Genomic DNA, 24,025 nt, shown 5'->3' on the forward strand with positions numbered 1-24,025 from the left:
TGCTCAAATTATTCCCAGTACTTGTATCTCATTTAGACAGACATCTTGTTCAAAATAAGCATTCTAGCAGAACTGACTGTCTCTGCAGCATGAATTTCCAGAAACTACTTCCCTAAGTTGAGGGCGTACTATGCATTCATAGAGATCACTCAATTTCCTTCTAAAAGGTGGTACCAATTTGTCTTTCTGCCTTCCGTGTTTGATTGTTTGTTTGTTTGTTTTTTGAGACGGAGTCTCTTTCACCCAGGCTGGAGTGCAGTGGCGCAATCTCGTCTCACTGCAGCCTCCGCCTCCTGGGCTCAAGCAATTCTCCTGCTTCAACCTCCCGAGTAGCTGGGACTACAGGCACGCGCCCCCACACCCGGGTAATTTTTGTATTTTTAGTAGAGATAGGGTTTCACCATCTTGGCTAGGCTGGTCTTGAACTCCTGACCTCAGGTGATCCGCCTACCTTGGCCTCCCAAAGTGCTGGGATTACAGGCCTGAGCTACCGCACCTGGCCTTGCCTTCTGTGTTTGAGAGCACCTGCTCCCCACACCCTCATCGGAAATCCTAGCCTCTTCTGTCTGTGTAGTCAGATGAGCAGAGATGGCTGTGGCACTGTTTTAAATTGTTTCTTTAAACATCAGTCAATTTGGTCATTGTTTCTTTTCTTCTTTATTTATTTTAGATAGGATCTTGCTCTGTTGCCTAGGCTGGAGTATGCACTATCATGATGGTAGCTCACTGCAGCCTTGAGCTCCTGGGCTCAAGCAATCCTCTTGCCTCAGCCTTCCAAGTAACTAGGACCACAGGAGTGTGTCACCATGCCTACATAATGTTTAAAACAAATTTTTTTAATCATTTCTCAGCATTTTGGCTAAGATCAAGTGTAAAATTTTTTGTAGCGATAGGGTCTCACTGTATTGCCCAGGCTGGTCTTGAACTCTTGGACTGAAGCCAGTCTCCTGCCTCGGCCTCCCAAAGTGCTGGGATTACAGGCATGAGCCATCATGCCCAGCCTAAATTGTTTCTTTAAACTTCACTCAGTGTGGTCGTTGTTCTGTCCGTATGCAGATAGATCATTTCTATTTATTATCTGAACTGAGTGGCCTTTGCTTGTTTTTAAGTTTTGCTTTTTAGTGTCTTTTGATGACTTTTTGGAAGGGTGGTGTTTTTTTTCCCCTGCAGTGTAGGTGCTGCCGGTGCCAAGATTTAAAACTTGCTTCCCTTCCCACAGGCTGCAGCGGGTGCAGAGGGGCAGGAGGCGCCAGCACAGGGATTCCTCCTGCTTTGCAGCCGTGCAGTGGGACTCTGGAAGCCACGCCATATTATCCGGGAGGCTCCGGTGCTATTGCCTCTTGTTCTGTGACACTCTTGGGTGTAAAATTGATACGGACGTATTTCTAACAGCCACGGCGGTTTTGCTGGCCCGTTCCTGCCTTCCAACCTGGGTTCCCTTTGGTCCTCTTGTTGCTTTAAGGTCTGGATCAGGCCATTTTCCTTGGGTCTCAGTGACTCCGGGCCAGTAGGTGCCTCGGCCTGGAAGTCCCTTCCCTTCATGGCCCAGCGCTCCCCAGTTCTACACTCCCCATTTCCCTTGGGAAGGCCTGGGGTTCGCCCCTGACCTTGTACTTCCCCGGCCCACCCCTGATTACAGCCAGCCTGTCACCTCCCTGCCCCCTCTGTTCGTGGACACTGCTGGGTCCCCACCATACTCCTGGACGGGACCTGCCCATGGCCGGGGCTCAGGCCATGCTGGGCAGCAAGATCCACAAGTGTGCAGACAGGACCCTGCGGGCAGGTGCTCTTTCCTGAGAGTCATCCTGTCCCCTTCACGGAGGGCTGCCTGAGTGTCCCGGCCCAGGGCACAGCACTCCTTGACTAACGACTTATTTTCCCTTTCCTGAAAACTGGCAGAAGGAGCAGCTGAACACGAGGGGCCGGCCATTCCGAGGCATGTCTGAAGAGGAGGTGTTCACCGAGGTGGCCAACCTCTTCCGGGGCCAGGAGGACCTGCTCTCAGAGTTTGGACAGTTCCTGCCCGAAGCCAAGCGGTCTCTGGTGAGTGCCGAGAGCCCCTGCCCAGCCTCGGGGGCCTCAGCGAGGACGGAGGGCCCCAGCCAGCTTGACCCATGTCCGGGCCAAGCCTATGTACCCTCCAGGCCACACTAGGGTCCCCCAGAAGCTACGCAGGTTGCAGATACCCAGGGGTTCCTCACTGTAGGCTCCACCTGCACAGCAAGCTCGTAAACGATTTGCCAAGGTGCTTCTCTGTACAGACAGTACCTGGATCTTGGGGTGGTTTGGGAGGCAGAGAGCATCTTCCAGTGGAGACTATGGGCCCAGGGGTTCCACCTCCTGTGTCTGCCCTGCAGAGCCCCACCCTGCCTGGGACCCCAGCCCTGTGGGAAGGTGCAGGAGGGCTGGGTCCACAATCATCGCTTCCCCTGTTGGATGAGACTGATCTGGGGCTCCAGCAGGTTGGATCTGGAGGAGCCAGTAGCGGGGGTGGCCTGTGGCCTGGCCCTGACCATGGTGGTAGAGAGCAGAGATGGGCGAGGAGGGGCCTTAGACAGGGCTCAGGGCTCACCCTGCACAGTCAGCCTTTCTCCCCTGCCTGTGGCCTGAAGCTGCCAGGGCCGCCTGTTCCGATTCCTCTTTTTTCCCCCACTATGATCATAAGACTTTTTTAAAAATTGAAGTGAAATTTATGTAACATCGAATTCACCATTGAAAGTGAACAATTCCATGGCATGTGGTACATCCTCAGTGTTGTACAACCTTCACCACTACCTAGTTCCAGAACATTTTCATCCCCCTGAAAGGAGACCCAGTCCCCATCAGCAGCCACCCCATTCACCTCCCCCAGCTCCTGGCAACGCCCATGTGCTTCCTGTTTCTGTGGATTTGATTCGCCCATTCTGGACATTTCAGATGGGTGGAATGTCACCATATGTGGCCTTTGTGTCTGGCTCCTCTCACTCAGCATCATGTTTTCAAGGTTTATCCATGTCGTACCGTGGATCAGTGCTCATTCCTTTTCCTGGCTGAATCATATTCTGTTAGATGGATGAGCCACATTCTGTTTATCCGTATTCTGTTGATGGACATTTGGGTTGTTTCTGCCTTTTGGCTGTTGTGAACAGTGCCGCCATCAACATTTATTGCACGGATTTGTTTGAACACCTGTTTTCAGTTCTTTTGGGTAGACACCTAGGAGTGGAATTCCTGGGTCACATGTTAATTCTGTTTTTGACTTTTTGAAGAGCCTCTAAACTGTTTTCTACAGTGACCGCACCATTTTACATTCCTATCAGCAATGGACTGCGGTTTCTGTCTCTCCACATGTTGGCCAACATTTGTTCTTTTCCAGGTTTTTTTTTTTTTTTTTTTGCCTTTTGTTTTTAGTAGCCATCAGTGTGTGAAGTTTTATTGCATTAAGGTTTGTTTGTTTTTATTTTTTGAGACAGGCTCTCTGTCTGTCACCTAGGCTGGAGTGCAGTGGCGTAATTGATCACTGTTCACTGCAACCTCCATCTCCCAGGCTCAGGTGATCCTCCCACCTCAGCCTCCTGAGTAGCTGGGACTACAGACACCACCACGATGCCAGGCCAATTTTTGTATTTTTTGTAGAGACAGGGCTTCGCCATGTTGCCCAGGCTGGTCTCGAGCTCCTGGCCTCAAGCGATCCACCTGCCTCAGTCTCCCAAAGTGCTGGGATTACAGGTGTGAGCCACTGCGCCCGGCCTACTTTTATTTTTTAATTGTAGAGACAGGGTCTCACAATGTTGTCCAGGTTGGTCTCAGACTCCTGGCCTCAAGCGATCCTCCCACCTTGGCCTCCCAAAGTGTTAGGATTACAAGCATATGCCATTGTGCCCAGTCCATGGTTTCTTTAAGTGGCATTTATGCAGGGCACCCGGCTAGCTCAGTCAGTAGAGCATGAGACTCTCAAATAACATTTATTACCAATTTAGCTAAGATTTTTAGTGTGTATTGGTTTATTAGAGCTATCTTGTATATTTAGAAAGATTGGATCAACTTTTTAAAATTATTAAAAGCACTGCATCTGTTGTGTGAAGTATAATCTTTATGTTAACTTTTGGACATATATTAAAACTGTAGGAAAAAGAAACCAAGATGAAATTTGGCATTGCTCTAATTAAATTTGACTGGCCTGGATCAGAGGTTGGCAAACCTTCTCTACAAAGGGCCAGATAGTAAGTATCACAGGCTTTGCAGGCCAGTTGATCTTTGTGTAAAGATTCACCTCTGCCCTAGTAGCTTGAAAGCAGTCATGGAATATGTATGTCAATGACTGGACAGGGCTGTGTGCCAATAACACTTTATTTACAAAATGAATGGGTGTGGCCGGGTACCAACAAAACTTTATTTACAAAATGAATGGGCATGACTGGGTACCAATAACTTTACAAAAGGAATGGGTGTGGCTAGGTGCTGATAAAAAATTTTATTTATGAGAACAACAGGCCCTGTGTTAATTTGCCATTCCCTAGCCTAGGTGGTCTTTGGGGGTCCATCTAGCTCAGATGTTCACATAATTGGGAGATTAACTGAAAAGCAAGAACCATGTGAACTGTTGGGGAAGATCTGCTATACCTGCTTGGTGAGCTTGGCTGGACGCATGGCGGGTTTCCCCTCCAGGTCCCCTGTTCTTGTTCAGCATTTGTCATATGGTCGCCCAGCTGCATCTTTTGGGAATCAGTTTACACCTGTTCCAGCATATACAAAAAATAGCCAAGCGTGGTGGCTCGTGCCTGTAATCCCAGCTACATAGAAGGCTGAAGCAAGAGAATCACTTGAACCCAGGAGACGGAGGTTGCACTGAGCTGAGATCGCACCATTGCGCTCCAGCCTGGGTGACAGAGTGAGACCTCCGTCTCAAAAAAAAAAAAAAAAAGATGTACCAGTGGAGAATTGTGTAGATGCCAATTTCTCCACTTACAGCTCTCGAAATAGCCTTGAATTTTGGGTAATTATTCCCCCCAAATAATTCCCCCCAAAACTCAAATAGCCTTGAGTTTTGGTAATTATTCCCCCCAAATTATTCTTCTAAGTCTTAACTGTGGCTAAATAATAAGTCTTTTTTAGTAGTAGTAGTAGTATTGTGGCTAAATAATGTCTTTATTATTATTATGGTAAAAATAGTATACACTAATGAAAAAATAAGTATTAGCAAGAGTATCAAATTTTTAATGCAAACTTCCTCTCCCTTGACTCAGTTCTTAGTCATTCTTCTCAGAGGTTAGCACTTCTAAGTGTCTTGTATATCTTTCCAGAAATTTCCTCTGCATGTGTAACAAATACTTTTTACAAAGCGACACACGGCATCCTATTTGTTCTGCCCCTTGGGTTTTTGGGGTTTTTCCTTGTTTTTTTTTGTTTGTTTGTTTTATTTCAGGTATGCCTGTCCCTAACAGCAGCCCAGAGCCAGCCCATAGTATCTGATCGCTGCGGGCTGATTTGTTCAGATGCACCATGACTTGTCCATCTCACCCACACTTTAGGTCTTTGGGGGTGTCTTTGCATCCAGGTCCTGTGGTGGCAGGGGAAGGCGGAGTACGATGGAGGTGACCGCAGTGGCACAGAACGTTGTAGGGCCTCTCCAGCTCTGCCCACGTCCTGCAGAAAAGCTGCGGTCTGTCCATCGTCCCCTGCCTGTCCAGCCTTCCAGTATGTTCATAGTAGACTGTTGCAGAACAGTTCTTTGTAAATGTCATTGGCACCCTGTAGGCACCCTGCTCGGGACAAGCATCCTCGACCTGTTAGCCGATGGCTGGAGCCTGGGAGGCAGGCCCCGAACCAGCCACGAGCCCCACTCTGCTCCCAGCAAGTGACGACATCATCCCCCAGAAACGTTTTGTCATTCATAGAAAAGACTTCAAAACCTGGCCCCAAGGCCCCCACCAGTGCCCTGGCAAACATCAGCCACTTCCCCTTGCTGCCTGTTTCTCTGTCCACTGCACCTTGTGTTTCTGTGGTGCCGGCATGCACACGGCGAGATGCCCCACCAGTGGCCGCCACATGAGCCCCCGCACGGGAAGACCCAACTCAGCTGTCTCCCTCCTGAAACCCCCAGCCCTTCTCCCTCCCTTATCCATAAAGGCCTCACAGGAGCTTTCTCCCAGCCTGGCAGTGTTAGTCTGTGATGATTCGGTTACCTTGGAATGTGAGCATCTTGCTGGAGTCACCTCACGCATGGACGGAGCATCTGGCCTGGTGCCCGTGGCCACCATTGCCCACCGGGCTGTGGGCTGAGCTGGAAGCAGCTCTGCATGCTCAGGTGCATGGGTCCAGCCACGTCTCCGGTGCTGACCACCTCCCACATGTGTCCTTAGTTCACAGGAAACGGGCCGTGCGAGATGCACAGCGTGCAGAAGAACGAGCACGACAAGACCCCGGAGCACAGCAGGAAGCGCTCCCGGCCCTCGCTCCTCCGCCCCGTGTCTGCACCCGCCAAGGTACCTGTGAGCCACATGCAGCCATGCCTGCACGCGGGGCCCCCAGCAAATCGGGCCTTCCCAGCATGTGACCAGGGAACAGAGGCCCCAGCAGGGGTTCGGGGCTGGACCGGGGGCTGTGTGAGGTTCACCGGCAGTGGGACCGTTGGAAGTCAGCTCTCCTCTAAGGTGGCTGTTCTTCCGTTCTCCCTGTCCTGTGAGATTGTTTTGAAAAGGAGGAGGAGGAAGGAGTGTTAACCCTGCCCTAGGTCCCAAGAAACAGGGTGTACCACCCAGTCTCCTTTTCACCCTCAGGACTCTCTCACAGGCAAGGCCGCCATGTACGTTTGTTCAGGTTGGTCACTGCACAGCTGAGGGCAGAGAGGGGCTGGGATCCAGCTCCTGTCACGCCTTTCACCTGCAATGGTGGTTTTCCGATTCCATTATTCCTTGTGCAGTTACTACTTGGCTTTCTACTATTGGTGGGAACTTTGTCGTCCTCCCATTTATTTAGTTATGTATATTAGATATGGACTCTGGGTTATAATCCATTCTAGTGTTGATGTCCATACTGTTCCAGATTGGGCCAGCGGGGTCCCTTTGGCTCTTGTGTCCTTTTTTTCTTTCCTTTGAGACAGAGTCTCGCTCTGTCACCCAGGCTGGAGTGCAGTGGCGCGATCTCGGCTCACTGCAAGCTCCGCCTCCCGGGTTCACGCCATTGTCCTGCCTCAGCCTTCCTGTGTCCTTTTGGCATGTCCTCATCATTCTTTCTCCTGTGGGGGGATGGGGTTTCACTCTGCCACCTAGGCTGGAGTGCAGTGGCACAGTCAGCCTTGACCTCTGGGCTCTAGCTGTCCTCTCACCTCAGCCTTCCAAGTAGCTGGGACCACAGGTGTGCACCACCACACCTTTTTGTAGAGATGAGGTTTCATCGTGTTGCCCAGGCTGGTCTCGAACTCCTGGGCTCAAACAATCCTCCCGCCTCAGCCTCCCAAAGTGTTGGGATTACAGGCGTGAGTCCCTGCACCCAGCTCATCCTCATTCTTCAGGCACTTTGGAGATAGTTCTGGATGGACAGTGTTGTCCTTCTTGCCATGATCGTGCATCCAAGTTCAGGTCCAAGTCCAGCTTAGAGACAAAAGCCTGCAGAGACTCAACATTTGGCTTCTCCAGGGTCTTCCCAGTGCCACCCTCTTCCTGTCCGCTTCTTGTTGCTGTCTTGGCTCTCAGGACAAAACAGGGAAAGGATTCTGAGATTGTCGTAGCCAGGGGCACATCCCCCTTGCCTTTCTGATGCTGTGGCACTCTTGCCTGTTACCCAAAGCCCTACCCTGCTGAGATGGAGATCCCAGATTTGGCAGTGGCAGGTATCCCCAGAGGTGTCATCTCAGGGGTCCTGGGTAACTGAGCGGCTCCTGCCTGTCCCTCACTGAGCATCTCATGGCAGTTCCCAAAGGAGAGCACGGTCTTAGCCTTCTTGAGACTCTGTGACAGCGATGGACAGAGGCCACCGGTGGGAGGCACAGTGTTAACTGCATAGAATTTCTCCCCACAGAAAAAAATGAAACTTCGTGGTACCAAAGACCTGTCCATCGCTGCAGTGGGGAAGTACGGGACTCTGCAGGAATTTTCTTTCTTTGACAAGGTGAGGGTGGGCCCTGGCTTCCATCTTGGGGATGCCATGTCCAGCTGGCTGGGCCAATGCTCCCTGGGCCTGCCCCAGGATTGGGGCGGGGAGCAGGTAGGGTGGGTGCAGTCTGAGGATGGATCCGGCGGGGCTGGCCCCCAGCTTTCACTGCGGAAGGGAATGTGGGCCTCCTTGGAGCCCAGGCATATACTGTGGGCAGGAGTCCCAGTGGGTGCTGAGACTCCAAGCAGAGTATGAAGACATACATGTCTGCCACCCTGCAGCTGTGTGGCTTTTTCTTATATCAGGGATGATTGTAGGGTTCCCGCCCAGGGTCTGTGGGCAGAGCAGACAAGGTGGCCGTGTGCATGGGCTGTGAATTGCTGCATGGATTGCATGCACAGACTGTGAATTGCTGCATGGATCACGTGCACGGGCTGTGTGAATTGCTGCATGGACACATGCATGGACTGTGTGAATTGCTGCACAGATGGCATGCATGGGCTGTGAATTGCTGCATGGATTGCGTGCATGGGCTGTGTGAATTGCTGCACGGATCGCGTGCACGGGCTGCGTGAATTGCACGGATCACATGCACGAACTGAATTGCTGCATGGACGCGTGCAGGGGCTGTGTGAATTGCACGGATCGCATGCACAAACTGTGAATTGCTGCATGGACGCGTGCAGGGACTGTGTGAATTGCTGCACAGATGGCGTGCATGGGCTGTGAATTGCTGCATGGATCACGTGCCTGTGCTGTGTGAATTGCTACACAGATTATGTGCACGGGCTGTGAATTGCTGCATGGATCACCTGCACAGGCCGTGAATTGGTGCATGGATTGCGTGCATGGGCTGTGTGAATTGCAGCACAGATATCATTTACTTATAGACACAGTTGGTTCCCATATCGCACACCCATGTGGCTGACCTACAAGTGAGCCAGGCCCAGAGGCTGAGGAGCAGGGGTTCACAGTGGTCCCTGACTGCTCTCTCTGCAGGTCCGCCGGGTGCTGAAGAGCCAGGAGGTGTATGAAAACTTCCTCCGCTGCATCGCACTCTTCAACCAGGAGCTGGTGTCTGGCTCTGAGCTCCTGCAGCTCGTCAGCCCATTTCTGGGGTGAGCAGCTGACTTCCCAGGGCTCCCTAGGGGGGTTCTGTTCCTGTCAACTCCATCTACTTGGTTTTTAGTTACTGTTTTTGAGCAATGATTGTGCTTTTCTAAAATCCTGTTTATTAATTGACGTGATTGATATAATTATTGATTCCCATGCATTTGTAAGGAGCAATACACCACCTGGGTACCCTCCAGCTGGTTCCTTTACCAGTAACATCTGTAGTCAGTATCCTCACCAGAATACAGTGGGTCCTCGAGTAATGCCTTTTCATTTAACACTGTTTTAACACCGATGAGAAAAGAAGACATTCATTTCTGGTCTGAGTGGAGTTTGCACGTTCTCCCCATGTCTGCGTGGATTTTCTCCCACATCCCAAAGATGTGCATGTTAGGTTAAGTCTAGGTTAAGCGGTGAGTCTCCGTGGTCCCAGCCTGAGTGAGTGTGGCGGGGTGAGCGCCCTGCAGTGGGGTGGCGTCCTGTCCAGGGTGGGTGCCCCACTGGTGCTCTGAGCTGCTGGGATAGGGTCCGGCCACCCAAGATCCTGAACTGGAATAATTGGGTAAATTGTTATTTTACTTGTTTTTACTCATCTTTCTTATCTGTATGTGTGGCTTGCATTTATTTCAGTGTTTAATATTAGAAGTGTTTTGGTCTCTCTTTAGAAATTTGGTGATTGTTTTGTGACCAAAAATACGCCGTAGGAACGTCATTCTTGTTTATGTGTCAATTAGCTTGTGGCAAAATTGGTTTTGTTACACATCTTTTCAACTTAAAGACACAGCTTTCTAACACCTGTTGATGATGTTGAGTGAGGACTTACTGTACTGACTCTCACACAACCCCCGTTCTTTCCAGACTCTCCGTGTTCCTCATACACGTCTGGTGTGTGTGTTTTTATACAGCTTTCTCACTGTGGAGGGTTGTGCGTCCGCCACAGTGAAGATACTGAACGGCTCCAGGACTGTCAAGTTCTGGCCTTGACCTTTTATCTCCATCCCAAAACCCTGCCTCAGCCGGAGTCTGTTCCAAACCCCTGGCAACTACTTATCTGTTCTCTAGACAATGTTACAGTAATGGAACTGTACAGGAGGAACCCTCTGGGAGAAACCTTCCCCCCCCCCCCCCCAGCAAAATTCCCTGGAGATTCACCTGATAAATACTTTTAAAAATTCTAACACTTGGGCCGGGTGCGGTGGCTCGTGTGTAATCCCAGCACTTTGGGAGGCCGAGGTGAGCAGATTGCCTGAGGTCAGGAGTTGGAGACAAGCCTGGCCAACATGGTGGAACTCCATCTCTACTAAAAATACAAAAATTAGCCGGGCGTGGTGGCAGGCGCCTGTAATCCCAGCTACTTGGGAGGCTGAGGCAGGAGAATCGCTTGAACCCAGGAGGCGGAGGTTGCAGTGAGCTGAGATCACGCCATTGTACTCCAGCCTGGGTGGCGACAAGAGCAAGACTTTGTCTCAAAAACAAAACAAAACAAAAAAATAATTCTAACCCTTGGGTCGGGCTTGGGTTAGGTGCGGTGGCTCACACCTGTAATCCCAACACTTTGGGAGGCCGAGGTGGGTGGATCACTTGATGTCAGGAATTAGAGACCAGTCTGGGCAACATGGCCAAACCCTGTCTCTACCAAAAAATATAAAAATTCGCCGGGGGTGGTGGCACACGCCTGTTGTCCCAGCTACTTAGGAGGCTGAGCTAGAAGGATAGCTTGAGCCAGGGAGGTCAAGGCTGCAGTGAGCTGTGATCACGCCACTGTCCTCTAGCCTGGGTGACAGAGTGAGACCCTGTATCCAAAAAATATATGTATATATATTATACCTCTGCTGCACAAAGAGAAGCCTCATTAGCAGGTCAGGTCTAAGAGTAGCTTCTAACCTCTGGTGGCCAGGTCAGCCTCAGGAAGGGGCTGGGACTGAGTGGAGGGGCCTGGAAACAACTGCGCACACTCGTATCCATTCTCGGGCTCACAGGAGTGTGCGCGGTAGGAGTAGGCGGGCCTGTGAGTGCTGAGACCTGGGAGCCAGCTGGGGCCAGTGTTGCTTCCTGCACATCAGCCCTGTGACTAGGGTGAGTCACTTGGGCAGTCTGAGCCTCTGTTTCCTTGCTGTAAAATGGGGATAGTAAATGTACCGACCTATGTGGGGTTCCTGAGAGCTGCAGGTGGGCGCTACCTGCAGGGCCCTTCAAATACAATAGAATCTCACAAATAAAAGGAAAAGACGATTTTTTCGGCAGAAGGAAATGATGTAAGTCACAAACTTGGATCTTTCCTAAAGAATCGAAGAGCATGGAGAAAAATACACGTGAAGATTTTTTTTTTTTTCAAGACAGAGTCTTGCTCTGTTGCCCAGGCTGGAGTGCAGTGGCGCGATCTTGGCTCACTGCAACCTCCACCTCCCAGGTTCAAGTGACTCTCCTGCCTCATCCTCCTGAGTAGCTGGGATTACAGATGTGTGCCACCATACTTGGCTAATTTTTGTATTTTTAGTAGAGATGGGGTTTTGCCATGTTGGCCAGGCTGGTCTCGAACTCCTGACCTCAAGCAGTCTGCCTGCCTCAGTCTCCCAACGTGCTGAGATTATGGGCGTGAGCCACCATGCCTGGCCATGATTCTTTTTTTTAATGGTTCTTGCACATGGTGGGTGCACATATTAACATGATCAGTCCATTCAGTCCTTAGCCCTTTTCCCATTTACCCCAGGGATAGTAGTTGACAGCACTTGTGGCTGTAGCGTTCACCCCAAGATAACTTTGCCATGAAGCATCTCATTTTTATTATTATTTTTGCATTGCTGTCATATATCAACTTTGGAAATAAAAGACATCATTTTATGTATAGCATCCTGTTTTTAGTAGTGATATTTCCAGTTACAAAATATAGTAATTCTTGATCACTGAAAATGTCAAATCTTGGAAAATGTAGCATTCCTACACTTGATGTTAACATTGTTCTCAAACAGTTGTTGGCCAAAGATTCATTTGATGAATCTGACTGTTCCAAAATAGACGATTCTGGTGATTCAGACGATTCTGATGTTCTGTTTAGAAATAACTCCAAGAACAGTTTTTATATTTTACTTTCACATTGAAAATCAGTCAGATTTGCTTCAGCCTCAAAGAGTGTGTTTATGTAAAATTAAATGAGCGCTGGCAGCAAGCTGGACTTTTTTTTTTGTTCTAAATGGGAAAAAGTTGAATCAACCCTGGGGACAGGTGCTGTGTGAGCCCTTTTGCATTAACTTAAAAAAAATATGTGTGTGTGTGTGTGTGTGTGTGTGTGTGTGTGTGTATATATACACATAAACATTTTTCTAATGTAAAATAAAGCACAGATCCAAGAAACCACATGGCCAACAAATGGCTTGAATCTTTATTAAGCAGTCACCCATGTGCCCACCACCCACATCAAAAATAGACTCCAGGAGCACCCCCGCATACCATTCCAGTCCCTGCCCCTCACTGTGAGAGTGTCCTGACTTCAGGAGTGACCGCCACCTGCACTAATGACGGCACAGCCACCCAGGTGGGCATCGCCAAATACATGACTCAGTCTCACCCCCATCTGGGTTGGGTTTGCTTTGCTTTGCTTCTTTTCTCTTCTCTTTTCTTTTCTTTTCTTTTCTTTTTTTGAGACGGAGTCTAACTCTGTCACCCAGGCTGGAGTGCAATGGTGCGATCTCAGCTCACTGCAACCTCTGTCTCCCAGGTTCAAGTGATTATCCTGCCTCAGCCTCTCGAGTAGCTGGGACTACAGGTGCCTGTGACCACACCCAGCTACTTTTTGTATTTTGAGTAGAGACAGAGTTTCGCCATGTTGGTCAGGCTGGTCTCAAACTCCTGGCCTCAAGTGATCCGCCTGCCTCAGCCTCTCAAAATGCTGGGATTGCAAGTGTGAGCCACGGCGCCCAGGCCCTGGGTTTTGTTTTCTAATACATCTCGTAAGTCTCCTTTCACCTCTGATTCCCTCCGATTCTAGTCCTTACTATTTTTGTCCTGATGCCCCTCTGCCTATCCCTGTCCCTGTTATTTCTGTGATATTAGCCTCCCAGGTTTGCTCATTCATTTGGGGTTACACAGGAGGATCACCACAGCATTTCTCACCTTTTATAAGAAGTGGCCCAGGATAGCTGCTTGATTACAGCCTTGATTCCTCCCTAGTCACGGCCTCAGAGTGATGAACTGCTTTCATATCATCTTCCCAAGGGGACCAATTAGGTTGTTTCCTTTGTTTTTTTTTAGCATCTTAATGAATTCATGGACTTAAAATATATTTGATGCGTTTCAATACCGTTTCTAGTCCTTTTAAAGGTGAGGGGCCAGGCGTGGTGGCTCATGCCTATAATCCCAGTACTTTGGGAGGCCGAGGGGGAAGGATCACTTGCATCCAGGAGTTTAAGACCAAGGCCGGGCCTGGTGGCTCACGCCTGTAATCCTAGCACTATGGGAGGCTGAGGCGGGTGGATCACCTGAGGTCAGGAGTTCAAGACCAGCGTAACCAATATGGTGAAACCCCTTCTCTACTAAAAATAAAAAAATTAGCCAGACATGGTGACCTGTGCCTGTAGTCCCAGCTACTTGGGAGGCTGAGACAGGAGAATTGATTGAACCCAGGAAGCAGAGGTTGCAATGAGCAAAGATTGTACCACTGCACTCTAGCCTGGGCAACAGAGCAAGCTGTCTCAAAAAAACGAAAACAAAAAAAAATGACCAGCCTGGGCAACATAGTGAGACCTCGTCAGAAACTAGCCAGAAGTGGTGGCGTGTACCTGTACCTACTTTGGAGGTTGAGGTGGCTGGATCGCTTGAGTTTTCGAGGCAGAGGTTGCAGTGAGCCCTGATCTCACCACTGCACTCAGCCTGGGTAACAGAGTGAGAACCTGTCTCAAAAAAAAATAAGGAAGCTGAGGCTCAGGTCGAACCCCTCTAACTTACTCTAGGACAAGCACTCATAGGTGAGCTTAGCGTGCTGTTAGGCGGCAGCCAGGGTGCTCCAGCCCCAAAGCCAGCCCTTTGCATGTTCTCTGCCTTCTGGGCACAGTGGCTGCTGGGCTTCGGTGTGTATTTTTTTTTTTAACTCAGCATTTCTTGGAAGTGTTTCAGCATCAGATGTGAACCCATGTCCTCATTTTTAAGCAACTGCACCGCTTTTCCTTCCCTTACCAGGGTCTCTAACAATGGACATTTGTCTCTAGTCCTCCCTGTAAGTGGTGTTGACAGCAAATGCTCCTGAGTCTGCGACCCTCATGGGTCAAGCTGAGCCCATCAGAAGGCCTTTCCCTGGTGGTCTCAGGCATGCACGTGTTGGGGTGATCTTTTCAGTGGGTTTTCTTTCTTGGGCTGCTGAAGGTCTGTAAACGCCCTGAAGAACAGCCCAGAGCAGGATGGTGTTACTCTAGTCTCAGCCAAAACGGGGACTCCTGGGGTCTGTTTGTGACGTGGGTGGTGGGCACACGGCTGGGCTTTTTCTGTGGATGTGGAATGCACATTCACCTTGAGTTGCCTCCACTGGGCTTAGAATCCAGCACTCTCTGAGCCTGGGTCCCACCTGGGAAAAGGGGCCCCCAGGGGCTGTGTGTGGAGCTGGTGTTGGCACCTGGGTCCAGCGGGCACGTGACCACCCCGGGTTGGAATTGGGACTCTGCTTCCTACTAGCCAAGCGAGCCTCAGTGTCTTTGTAAAATGGCCATACCTCCCTCCTGGGTTTATCAGGAGGTTAGAGGGGAAGACAGAAGGAACATGAAAGGTGAGAATCTGAAAGGCAAGGTGCTGAACAGATGGGCAGTGCCGGAGCACAGTCAGCTGTTCTTGTTTCCATGTTTCAGCAGTAGAGACTCGTATGGGGAAGGGCGTTTGGGGAAGGGTCTGTATGGAGCAAGGTCCAGAATTGAAGCGGGCCTCTGCGTGTGCTTGACACGAGGCCTGGTTGGGTTAGGAGCGTTCACCACCATGTGGCGTTCCTCCGCGTGTTCAACCTGCGGTCAAGTGCTCAGCTGGGCTGGGCAGCTGAACACGGCCCAGGGAACTGCCCCTCGCAGCTGGCAGCCGCGTGGCAGCCAGGGTGGATCGGGTTGAGCATTCCCTTCAGAGCAGTCACGATTTGCGTTTATCCCAGCAGTAGCCTCAGGCATCTCTGCAGCTTTTTTGTTGGTCTCTTTCCTTCCTACGTTTCCATCGGCTTGTGGGTTTTCCTTGTGAGCAGGGTTGGCATAGGGTTCTTAAATACGGGGAACGACGGAGCCCACATCAATGAGGGGGACGTCGTTATGCGAGGGTGGGCTGGGTGGCTAGGTCACAGCAGGATTGTGGCACCAGCAGTCAAAGTAACTGCAACTTTTTTTTTTTTTTTTTTTTTTGAGACGGAGTCTCGCTCTGTCGCCCAGGCTGGAGTGCAGTGGCGTGATCTCGGCTCACTGCAACCTCTGCCTCCTGGGTTCACGCCATTCTCCTGCCTCAGCCTCTCCCAGTAGCTGGGACTACAGGCGCCCGCCACCACGCCCAGCTAATTTTTTTTTTGTATTTTTAGTAGAGACGGGGTTTCACCGTGGTCTCGATCTCCTGACCTCGTGATCCGCCCGCCTCGGCCTCCCAAAGTTCTGGGATTACAAGCATGAGCCACTGCGCCTGGCCATAACTGCAACTTTTTTGGTAGGATCTGATGTTACTGCTTAGAGACGGGGTCCTGCTCTGTTGCCCAGGCTGGTCTCAAACTCTTGAGCTGAAGTGATCTTCCCGCCTTGGCCTCCTGAGTAGCTGGGATTCCAGGTACACACCACCAGGTCTGATACTATTTTAAACAGAAATCCAGGTGGCATTGTAGGGTCATTTGCATTAAAGCCTTCCTGTTGTCGACCACAGCCATGACATTATGACTTTCAAGCTTGTGTCCAGAGAGGGGTTCACAGAGAGAAGTCTCCCTCATGAGAGGAAGACTGTGGATCAGAGATAGGCAAACTTGATCTCTGAGGGGCCAGATGGGCTTTGTGGAAATGACTCAAACCCCTCTTGTGCAGGCAGCCACAGGCAGTGCGTACACAAGTGGATGTGACTGCAGGCCAGTGAAACTTTATTTACAATGGGATGGCTAGGCATGGTGGCTCACGCCTGTCACCCCAGTACTTTGGGAGGTTGAGGTGAAAGGATCACTTGAGGCCAGGAGTTCAAGACCAGCTTGGGCAACATAGCAAGACCCCATCTCTACAAAAAAATTTTTAAATTGGCCCTGCATGGTGGCTCACACTTGTAATCCCAGCACTTTGGGAGGCCGAGGCGGGTGAATCACCGGAGGTCAGGAGTTTGAGACCAGCCTGGCCAACATGGGGAAACCCCGTCTCTACTAAACATACAAAAATTAGCCGGGCATGGTGGTGCATGCCTGTAGTCCCAGCTACTCAGAAAGCTGAGACAGGAGAATTGCTTGAACCCGGGAGGTGGAGGTTGAAGTGAGCCGAGATTGTGCCATTGCACCCCAGCCTGGGCGACAAGAGTGAAACTCTGTCTCAAAAAAAAAAAAAAAAAAAAATTTAGCCGGGTGTGGTGGCACATGCCTGTGGTCCCAGCTACTGAGGAGGCTGCGGTGGGAGGATCTCTTGAGCCCACGAGTTTGAGGTTGCAGTAAGCTGAGATCATGCCACTGCCCTTGAGCCTGGGCAACAGAGTAAGACACTATCTCTAAAAAGAAAATACCAAACCAAACAAAACACAGGCAGTGTGCAGACTGGCTGTGGCTTGCCACTCCCTGGCCTGAAGCCTGGCCTCTTCCAGTCAGGGAACATCAGGGGTTCCAGCTTCTGCCAGTTTAAGTCATCTTTTCTGGTGTATTTCAAAGCCTTACTGTGAGTATGGGATTAATAGGCACAGGAAGGGACCTGGTGTGTGACAGATGGGTGGGAGGCCCATTCATTCACACACCCCGGGACTTGCAGTGACTTCCTGTGTATTGGATTCTTCCGCCTCTCATTCGCATCCATGATGTTGAATTCTGACTCTGTTTAACTTGTAATGTCCACATGAAGCCATTCTAAAATCTCCAGATCCCTCTCAGAAGGCCCTGGGGATGACCAGTTACCATGTGTCTTTATCTTTGAAGGAAATTTCCAGAACTCTTTGCACAGTTCAAGTCCTTCCTGGGGGTAAAAGAGCTGTCCTTCGCGCCACCCATGAGCGACAGATCCGGGGACGGGATAAGCCGGGAAATTGATTATGCATCCTGCAAGCGCATAGGATCCAGCTACCGGGCACTCCCCAAAACCTACCAGCAGCCCAAGTGCAGTGGGAGGACAGCCATCTGCAAGGAGGTAGCGCTCCCTGGGGCTCAAATGTTCGTTGACATGGTGCATCCCCCACCCCTCCCCAGCAAACACCCGATACCCCCGTTATGAATGAAATGCTGTGTGCTCAGCCCTCCTGAATGTTGGGTTATGGGTGGTGCTGGGATGTGGCCCGGCAAAACCACCTGAGCAGAGACAACAGTGTTGTACCCTGCTGGTAGTTTTGGCAAAACACAGAGTGCCAGGGATAACGTGGAGTTCGGCTTATTCATCTGTTATTTGACTTAGGTTTATTGCTGCCATGATTCTGCTCTGTCCCGGGCTCACTGACCTCAGTGTGTTTCTGTTTAGCTTGACCATTGGACACTTCTCCAGGGTTCGTGGACAGACGATTACTGCATGTCCAAGTTCAAGAATACCTGCTGGATTCCAGGATATAGTGCAGGGGTCAGCAAACTCTGGCCCACGGGCCCTGGCCCGCTGCCCGTGTTTGTAAATAAAGTTTTACTGTCACACAGACACAACCATTCCTTTACATATTGCCTGTGGCTGCTTTTCTCACCACAAAGGCAGAGTTGAGTATTCATCTGGGATGGCCTGCAAAATCTGAGATGGTTGCTGTCTGACCCTTTGCAGAGAGAATTTACCAATGTCTGAAATGAAATCGGCCCTCCGGATCTGCAAGTTCCTCATCTGTGGTTTCAACTAACCATGGATTGAAAATACGTGGGGAAAGAGAAACCAAAAAATGACAATACAGCAATAAAGCGTAATCCACATTTTAAGAATGCAGTGTAACAATGATCTACACAGCATTTACATTGCATTAGGTATAAGTATTCTAGAGATGATTTTGCATAGGATATATGCAAATAGGATTCCATTGGACATCAGGGACTTGAGTATCTGTGGATTTGGGTCTTCAGGGGTGGTTCTGGAACCAATCTCCCAGGATACCAAGGGAGTGTCCACTTGACCAAAGTCATGTTTTTCCTTAAAAACTTTATGCACCTTCCCATTTGTATAAGGCAGTTGGTATTATGTATCAGGATGGTATTATGTATCTTGGTACTTTCTACACTGGCTAACAGTAAATCTTGGCTCCTGGGGCATGCAGCGTCATTCACGGCATTTCCTCTTGGTGCAGGTACTGAACGACACCTGGGTCTCCTTCCCTTCCTGGTCTGAGGACTCCACGTTCGTCAGCTCCAAGAAGACACCGTACGAGGAGCAGCTTCACCGCTGTGAGGACGAGCGCTTCGAGGTGTGTGTGCTGCTGTGGCCGGGTCCCCCGGCATGTGCCTGTTCCCCTTCTCCATGGGACATGCATCCTGATCCTCCTCCACTGCCCCAGTCTCGTTTGGAGGAGCAGGAATTGCAGCACATTCCAACAGCTCCTGGAAGCTTCCTGCCGGGTCTTGCTGGCCTTTGGGCTGGCTACCAGATGGCACTTTTCTTTCTGTTTAAAAATTTTGTTTGGGCTGGGCGTAGTGGCAGACACCTGTAATCCCAACACTTTGGGAGGCCAAGACAGGTGGATCATTTAAGCTCAGGAGTTTGAGACCAGCCTGGGCAACATGGCGAAACCCCATCTCTACCAAAAATACAAAAATTAGCCGGGCGTGGTGGCGGGCGCCTGTAATCCCAGCTACTCGAGAGGCAGAAGCAGTAGAATTGCTTGAGCCAGAGAGGCCGAGGCTGCAGTGAGCCGAGATCACACCACTGCACTCCACCCTGGACAACAGAATGAGACCCTGTCTCCTAAAAAGTTTCTTTAATGTAAAAATTAAATTTATTTTTATTTTATTTATTTATTTATTTTGCTTGCTCTGTTTCCCAGGCTGGAAGTGCAGTGGCGTAATCATGGATCGCTGCAGCCTTGACCTCCCAGGCTCAAATGATCCTCCCACCTCAGCCTCCTGAGTAACTGGAACCACAAGTCCATACTACCATGCCCAAGTTGTTTTTTTTACTTTTTTTGTAGACATGAAGTCTCACTGTGTTCCCGAGGCTGGTCTCACACTCCTGGCCTCAAGCGATCCTCCCACCTTGGCCTTCCAAAGTGCTGAGATTAAAGGAATGAGCCACCACACCTGGCTAATTTTTTTTTCCTTTTTTTAGAGACAGGGTCTGTATTGCCCAGGCTACATTAATTTTTGTAATTAAAAGTTTTATTGGCTGGGCACGATGGCTCACGCCTGTAATCCCTGCACTTTGGGAGGCTGAGGTGGGAGGACTGCTTGAGGCCAGGAGTTCAAGACCAACCTGGGCAACAAAGCAAGAGCCCATCTATACAAAAAAAAAATTTTTTTTTTTTTTTGAGACAGAGTTTCACTCTGTCGCCCAGGCTGGAGTCCAGTGGCATGATCTTGGCTCACTGCAACCTCCACCTCCTGGGTTCAAGCGATTCTCCTGCCTTAGCCTCCTGAATAGCTGGGATTACAGGCACACCACCATTCCTGGCTAATTTTTTTATTTTTAGTAGAGACGGGGTTTCACTATGTTGGTCGGGCTGGTCTCGAACTCGTGACCTTGTGATCCGCCCATCTCAGCCTCCCAAAGTGCCAGGATTACAGGCGTGAGCCACCGTGCCCGGCCATAAATTTTTTTAATTAGCCAGGCATGGTGGTGCACACCTATATTCCTAGCTACGTGGGAGGCTAAGGTGGGAGGATTGTTTGAGCCCAGGAGGTTGAGGCTGCAGTGAGCTTTGATTGTGCCACAGCACTCAAGTCTGGGTGACAGAGCAAGACCCTATCTCTTAAATACACACACCCCCCCCCCAAAAAAATCCTCTGGTCTCTGAGGTCCCAGGCTCCTCTCTGAGGCCTCTTGAGTTCCCCAGTGGCTGACCCCGTCCTGCCTTCCTTTCCATAGTTAGACGTTGTCCTGGAGACGAACCTGGCCACAATCCGTGTGTTGGAAAGTGTGCAGAAGAAGCTGTCTCGGATGGCGCCGGAAGACCAGGAGAAGTTCCGGCTGGACGACTCCCTGGGAGGCACGTCGGAGGTGATCCAGCGCCGTGCCATTTATCGCATCTATGGCGACAAGGCCCCGGAGATCATCGAGAGCCTCAAGAAGAACCCTGTCACCGCTGTCCCCGTTGTCCTGAAAAGGTGCCCTGTGGCGTCCCGACTTCCCTTCCCCTTCCCCTTCCCCCTTCCCTCCCCTCCCCTCCCCTCCCCTCCCCACTGCAGGGAGCCCTTGGAGAGCTCATTAGTGCTGTTTGTCAACAGGTGTCATCTCCAGGGGTGGTCTCTGAGGCCTAAGGGTGCCTTCCTGTATTTCCCAGTCTCCCACTCCTGAGAGGAGAGCACTGTGACCTTCTAGGACTTTCCACCTTGCACATAATACATCTAGACATCTAAATAACTGCTTTAAGAGTCAGATGCGACCACTACACTGTGGCTTGCATTTTATTTAATGCTGCATTTCGGATGCCGTCCGGCGCTAGTTAACAGGCATTTATCAAGTGGTCACTTTCAGGCAGGTGCAGTGCTTGGCCCTGGGATTATGCAGCTGAGTGAGGCAGACCCAGTCCCTCTCTTGGGACTCACAGCTGAGCAGGGGACCTGAGTGGTTGAGCCAACAGCCATGCGGAGAGTGCTGGGTGCCAGGGAGGAGGTGGAGGAACCGGGAAGCCGGCCACATTGGCTCTGTAAGGCCATCACGCCCTCCCTCTGACGTGCACAGAGCCCACTGCACAGACTAGGCTGGGAGCTGGCTGGGCCTGGGTCCTGGACCCCCAGTCAAGTCCCAGAGGAAGACAGGCCAGCCCTGGGATGCTTCAGGGAGGATGCCCTGGCTTGTCCCTGGTGCTGACCTCTCTTCCCCCCGCAGACTGAAGGCCAAGGAAGAGGAGTGGCGGGAGGCCCAGCAGGGCTTCAACAAGATCTGGCGGGAGCAGTATGAGAAGGCGTACCTCAAGTCCCTTGACCACCAGGCTGTGAACTTCAAGCAGAACGACACCAAGGCCCTGCGCTCCAAGAGCTTGCTCAACGAGATCGAGAGCGTCTACGACGAGGTAAAGCCTTCCCTAGCCCTGCCGGCCGGTGGGGGTGGGGTCCTGGCTCTCCCGACCGCCGGGTCTGTGCCTCTGTTTCCCTGGTGGTTAGGCAGGGTAGTGGCATTGCCCTTTCAGGGCTGTGTTGAGGCGAGGGTTCATGTCTCTGTGATGCCCAGCCTGTGGCCTGCCCTAGGAGAACCAGCAACTCTGCCATTGTCTATCTGTTTGTTTGTTTGGAGACAGAGTCTCGCTGTGTTACACAGGCTGGAGTGCAGTGGTGTGATCTCAGCTCACTGTAACCTCAGCCTCCTGGGTTCAAGTGATTCTTCTGCCTCAGCCTCCTGAGTGGCTGGGACTACAGGCGCACACCACCACACCCAGCTAATTTTTATATTTTTAGTAGAGATGGGTTTTCACCATGTTGGCCAGGCTGGTCTTGAACTCCTGACCTCGTGATCCACCCACCTCAGCCTCCCAAAGTGCTGGGATTACATGCGTAAGCCACCGCTCCTGGCCGACTCTGCCATTGTCTAGCGAAGTCTCCGTCCCTCCCGTGGGGCAGTGATGGACTTTGGCTTAGGTAGTGGGTGGCAGCAGCCTTCATTTCTTTCTTGCCGACTGTGCCAGGCACCGGTGTTAGCAACACAGAAAGAGTAATGCATCATCTGACCTCACTCCTGAACCTGACTCTGCTGCGGCATTATTCTGATTTTACCAGTGGGGAAACTGAGGCACAAGAGGTTGCATTTGCCTGGGCTGGTCGCAGGGGGCCAGGGCTCTGAGTCATTGGGTTCGAGGCTTTCGGCTGCATGTCCTCACTGCAGGCTCACAAGGCCTGAGTCATAGAACCAAGGCCAGCGGGGCCCTCAGGTTGCCAGGAGCTGGGCCTGTTAGTAGCTGTGTGTAGGGAGTGCCTGCTTGCAGGATCCTGAGGTGGGAAGCTTGGCAGGGTGCCGGGCGTGGTGATAGCCAGCTGTCGGGAAGGTCCTTGGACACTCTGAGGAGGTGGCTTAGGAGGGCACACTACTCCCCAGGCAGTGCCCAGATCATGGCACGGGCTGCGTTATCAGCCTGGTGCCCACCTGGGCAGGGGGTGTTGCCTCACCTGATTTGGTTTCTTGCTCCTGTCACTGCACAGTGAGCGGTCGCTCCTTCTTTTACAACACAGAAACGGAATCCACAGGAGCCGGGCTGCTGGCCCAAGGCCTCTCCCAGAGCCTGTGGGACTGTGGGGACCCCCTTCCCTCCCACCTCCCTTCCCGTGGGCCACCCTCGCCCCAGGCCCACCCACAACCACTCTGGCTTCCTCACTCTAGTCCTCGGCGATCCTCAAGCCCAAGACCCCGTATAGGTTCTGTGGGTCTGTGGTGTCTGCAAAGTGCAGATGATGAAGTAGCCCTGGAAATCCACCAATGCGACCCTGAGTTCCTGGATCCCTCCCTGGGGCTGGGGCTGACAAAGGGAGGGGCACCAAGGTTCATATGCAGATCTCTGCACATGCAGGTCCTTGATGAATTCCAAAGTCAGAACCCCATTCCATCACGTGATTTACAAAGCATGGTTACAGATCATGGACATGGGGACCCTGCTTCAGAGGGGACTGTAAAGGAATTTTCAGAGTGTTTATGGCATAAATGAGACCTGGGGGACTTAGGAAGCAGTCAGAGGGCGATGGTCACACTGAAGAGCCCAGAGCAGGGCTGAGCGTGCAGACTCCTAGGAACCAGGTCAGTGTGCTTGGCCCTACCAGCCTCTAAGCCGCCTTGCAGGGGAGGAGGAAGGGAAACCTCAGGCTGCTAGGAGACCCGGTCCTTCCCTCGGGAGCCTGCAGAGATGGCATCCACGCTCATTTTCCCCAAGAGCCCTGCTGCGTCTGCCTCCCTGCCTTGGACTGAGGGGGTTGGGGCTGCCCAGCAGAGGCCCTGGGTGCCAGGACAGTGGTGTGGGAGGCTGGAGGAAGGGGTGATTGTCTAATGGTGTGAGGGAATGAAAGTCATGATCTAGATAAAGACCAAGGGGAGGGGTGAGCCTGGGACAGGGTTTTCCAGGGAGTGAGAGCAGATGGGCATGTGCAAAGGCCCTGCACACGCAGGAGGGAGCTTGGCGCGGTGAGGCTGGAGGAGCTGTGGAGGGGCACATCAGGGGCCGGCGTCTTCTGAGCAGCCTGGGAAAGCCTGAAGGGCATTAGTTGGGGTGACCATGCTCCTGTGGGCCAAGTCACCCTGGACCCAGTGAGGAGAGTGGTTGGAGCAGGCTGGTGGGAGCTGGTGGGAGGGCTGGTGACATGATGGTGGTAGCAAGCACGTGCAGGGGCTGGCGGGGACAGCAGCGGAGGCGGGGGCTTGGTGACGATGGGCGTGCAGGTCTTCAGATGTGAGCAGTTGCAGGCCTTCCGGGTAGTAGATGGAGGGCAGAGGCAGAGAGGTCACGGCTCACCCTTTGCCTCCTTGACTTCATCGATAGCATGGTGTGGGCAGCCCCGGTCGAGCTGGAATCAGGCGCCACCGTTGCTTTCAGTAGGAGGAGGTCAGCCTCAGAGGCTTCTCCATGCTGAGCC

The 24,025-nt window shown here is 51.5% G+C and overlaps 1 protein-coding gene across 4 annotated transcripts in view, besides 2 other annotated features; it reads left to right on the plus strand.

The window, feature by feature from the left end:
• The window catches only part of SIN3B (SIN3 transcription regulator family member B), a 50,952-nt gene that overhangs the window by 15,673 nt on the left and 11,254 nt on the right, over positions 1–24,025 (plus strand). The window contains exons 5-13 of one of the 4 annotated variants that reach the window (NM_015260.4): positions 1,900–2,043; positions 6,342–6,464; positions 7,999–8,088; positions 9,073–9,191; positions 17,282–17,489; positions 17,814–17,909; positions 18,610–18,726; positions 20,340–20,578; positions 21,303–21,486. In NM_015260.4, the coding sequence (NP_056075.1) occupies positions 1,900–2,043; positions 6,342–6,464; positions 7,999–8,088; positions 9,073–9,191; positions 17,282–17,489; positions 17,814–17,909; positions 18,610–18,726; positions 20,340–20,578; positions 21,303–21,486 (1,320 nt within the window). Of the gene's footprint in view, positions 1–1,899; positions 2,044–6,341; positions 6,465–7,998; positions 8,089–9,072; positions 9,192–17,281; positions 17,490–17,581; positions 18,727–20,339; positions 20,579–21,302; positions 21,487–24,025 lie in introns of those variants that run through there. The other 3 variants (NM_001297595.2, XM_006722704.2, NM_001297597.2) reach the window with 3 other exon arrangements.
• Positions 1,234–1,735: an enhancer, noted in NCBI's record as "H3K4me1 hESC enhancer chr19:16957115-16957616 (GRCh37/hg19 assembly coordinates)". NCBI's record gives its function as "activates a minimal SCP1, AML or CMV promoter by ChIP-STARR-seq in naive H9 embryonic stem cells {active_cell/tissue: H9 hESC(naive)}" and the evidence as "EXISTENCE:reporter gene assay evidence [ECO:0000049][PMID:30033119]".
• Positions 1,736–2,235: an enhancer, noted in NCBI's record as "H3K4me1 hESC enhancer chr19:16957617-16958116 (GRCh37/hg19 assembly coordinates)". NCBI's record gives its function as "activates a minimal SCP1, AML or CMV promoter by ChIP-STARR-seq in naive H9 embryonic stem cells {active_cell/tissue: H9 hESC(naive)}" and the evidence as "EXISTENCE:reporter gene assay evidence [ECO:0000049][PMID:30033119]".

This window comes from Homo sapiens, chromosome 19, assembly GCF_000001405.40.
Source record: "Homo sapiens chromosome 19, GRCh38.p14 Primary Assembly".
NCBI classification, from domain to species: Eukaryota; Metazoa; Chordata; class Mammalia; order Primates; family Hominidae; genus Homo; species Homo sapiens.